Here is a 3,664-nt window from a genome sequence, read left to right on the forward strand (position 1 = left end):
AGGAATAGTACAAATAAAATGGCTATCCAGTGTAACAAACTTAACTACAACCTGGGAGAAAATTCTAAATATTTACATCCAATCCAAACTGAATTAATACAGATAATACAGGAGTCCATATGGGAATTATGTAGTATTTTTCAATACAGGGGTGGGAAAAAATAAGAATTTCATGACATGTAACCCCTGAGTATAAAATAAAAGTTGAAATTAATAAATAAAATAAAACAATTTCAAAAATAATTGTACTTATTCATCAATGTGCATCAAATATGGATCATGTTAACAGGATCTGTGTTATGTAATAGAGAATGGGGTGGGGTTAGGGGTGAGAAAGACTCATTGAACTCATTAAGGTAACAATCTTTCCAAGATAGCCATTAAATCATTGCCCAGATTGTTATTTAAATATAACTATGTTTAATGATATGATGAGAAGGGCACGACTTTATAATAGATGAAAAATGGATGGTTGAGTCTAGTCAGAGGAGGATTAGAAATCTTTCCTAGTGCAGCTTAAGTTCAGATTTTAAGGCTGATGAGCACTGGCTAGGTGAAATGAGAGAATAGCCTGTAGGTAGTGAAAACAACACACGGAGACAACACTAACCTTTAGATCGCAACTCCACAGGCTTTAGAGGTCCTTTCTGAAAATTGTCTGAATTCTTGGGACTACTGGGGGGACTACTGGGGGAACTACAGGGTCTCTCCAGTGGTGGTAGATATGGGCCCCTCTGTGAACCTCTTTTCTTGGAGTTCTCGCTGACCTTCTTGGTCATGGGTCAACTAGATGTCATAAGGAGCTCTGGATCTTTCTCCTATGGAAGACCCAGTGGTGTGTGGCTTCTCTAGTTTCCGGGAGGACAGCCTTGTGAGGAAATTATTTCTGTTGACCTGAACAGAATTTCTTTCACAGGATGTGTGGCAATAAGCAACAGAATGATGCTGACCAGCTGACATGAGGTACCTCAAATCATGTATATAGACAAAAGTATCATAAAAAATAGTTCTGGCTGGGCACGGTGGCTCACGTCTGTAATCCCTGCACTTTGGGAGGCCAAGGCGGGTGGATCACTTGAGGTCAGGAGTTCAAGACCAGCCTGTCCAACATGATAAAACCCCGTCTCTACTAAAAATACAAGAAATGAGCTGGGTGTGGTGGCGTGTGCCTGTAATCTCAGCTCTTCAGGAGGCTGAGGCAGGAGAATCACTTGAACCCAGGAGGAGGAGGTTGCAGTGAGCTGATATCGCGCCACTGAACTCCAGCCTGGGCAACAAGCACGAAATTCTGTCTCACAGAAAAAAAAGAAAAGAAAAAGAAAAAAATTTCCCTGGCTCAGCACATCCTAGGTACAGCCCTATGTTCAGGAGGTAGCTAGCTGAATGAATTGGAGGAATAAAAAACAAGTGGGGCTGTAACAGCAAATTAAAATGATTAATACTATATAAACATATTAGGGGTTGAAAAATATTTACATTCATCTATTATTTTATTTTTTCTGGTGGACTAAATTAAAGTGTCCTTAAATTGATTCAAAGCTTACATGATTCTCACAATAAGTTAAATATAAAATTTTACATCTATAAATGCTAAAATGGATGCCAAAATACCCACATTTGTTATTTAACACTGTAAAAAAAAAATCTTTATAATCTGGTAAAACTTTTTTAAAAATGTACTAAGTTTAATTAAATGAAAAGATGTTGTAAAAGAAACATTGAAGCTTCTTTAAAATGACCAAGAAGGCCTTACTTATCCCCTCGGTGTGTGTAAACTTCAGACAGGCTCTTCACACTAGGCACGTTACCACCCTTTTCTTGGGGGATTTACTTTAGAAATCTTGTCATTGTAAATTCTTTTTGTCTTTCAGAAATATAAATCTCCTAGTTTTTTGCCAGTTTCACAGTCTAGGAATGTACTTTTCAAGGACATTTGAAATTTAAAAAAACAAAAATAATAGAGCCTCTATCTCGGTTTCTGTAGGAGAGTAGAGGCCTAATATCAGCAGGCACCTGGATTCAAGTTGTAAAACCACCTCCTGTCATGCAGATAATGAGAAAGTTTACTTTTGTATTGGGTAAAGCCAATAAGCAAACACAGATGGCCAATGATCTCCCTTTCACACCAGCCTTTAAAATCTCTACTGTCTTTTGTTGAGTCAGAGTTGAGTTCAGAATCACTTCTGGCCTCTCTTTTTTGTTGCAATAGCCTTAAGTAAAGTTTCCCTTGCCTATTTAACATTATTCAGGGCAATATTCGCTTTGGAAGAAAAGATGGCATTTTTTGAACATTTTTTCAAGCCTTCAATATTGAAAGACCAATGACAATTTCAATCACCAATGAGTATATGATCATATTCCATTCATTCGGTTAATTTGGCATTCGCCTAGGAAACTTTCTTTTTTAATTTTGAAAATTAGTTCAAATTTCAAAAAATGAACATAGTTTATTACTTAATTTTTTATCCTGTTTTCTTATCTGTTTTCCAAAGAAGAGATAGATATATAAATGCATCCATAAATACACTGATAAATAGATAAGCAATCAATGCACTCTGCCGTTTGTATGAATGTCCATTGTCAAAGTGTCTGGGGCATAGTGTCTTTTATGGTATAAATTTTAAAGTGGTATTTTCCAGAAGTACGAATGGTGTTGATAATAAATACAAGGCCCCTACTGTCTTTTATTTTTACTTTTTGGTAGCATTTTCCTTTTCCAAAATCATTATCCCTTTATGAATTCATGATATGTTATTTACTGCTTCTAATTTTACATTTTTTGCAGACATTGTTGTGAGTAGAACATGCATATATTTGGAAACAATGTGTGAAAACCAGTTGTCAGTTATAAGTTGACCTCAATTTAAGAGGCATATTATTTTTAACTTTAAAATTTCCTTGGTGCAATTCTATTTGTAAGGCTTGGACACTATGAGCATTTTTGTGTTTTGATAGCATGTGGCTTAAGATATGAGCGTTTTGTGTTCTTTCCCCTGATTTTTCAGGTTTTTAAATCTTATAATTGAGCATAGAATGTTAATAAAAATCAAACAACCTATCTTTACCTCTTTTTTCTTATTCCATAAAATTATATGTCTTTTCATTACTCCTATCTCCATTCTTCTGCACCTGGATTTCCAAGAAAGAAATGGAAACTTTAGAGGGTTTTTGGGTAGACAAATATTAAAGTTAGTTTCCCAACATATAGACAATTTTATTTGCACATTAAGTAGGACATAACAAGTGGTGGGAATATAATTACATGTTGAGTCTCCTGAAGGCACTTATTTTTATATTTTAAAATTAATTTCTCAAATAGTGGCTATTACAAACATAATTTGGCCAACACAAATTATTTTCATAGAAAGTAATTATTGGCAAATTTTTAAAATTTAAAGATTATATGAAGTATAATTTTTCAACAAAGATTAAAAAGATGAAATACACATTTTCTTTAATTGGGTATTTATTTTTTCTTTTGAAATATTAAAATTAATATAAAACATTAAAATTTCTCTATTATCAAGTGTTGAGTTATATTTGCATAACATAAACTATTAGAACAATCTTTATATGCTCATGTATATGCTGCCAGAGATCATTAGCCGGGAATTTACTGCTGGGGTCAGCTGTTCTCAAGACTTTAAAGAGAAATTTATCCAAA

This window comes from Homo sapiens, chromosome 4, assembly GCF_000001405.40.
Source record: "Homo sapiens chromosome 4, GRCh38.p14 Primary Assembly".
In the NCBI taxonomy this organism is placed as follows: Eukaryota; Metazoa; Chordata; class Mammalia; order Primates; family Hominidae; genus Homo; species Homo sapiens.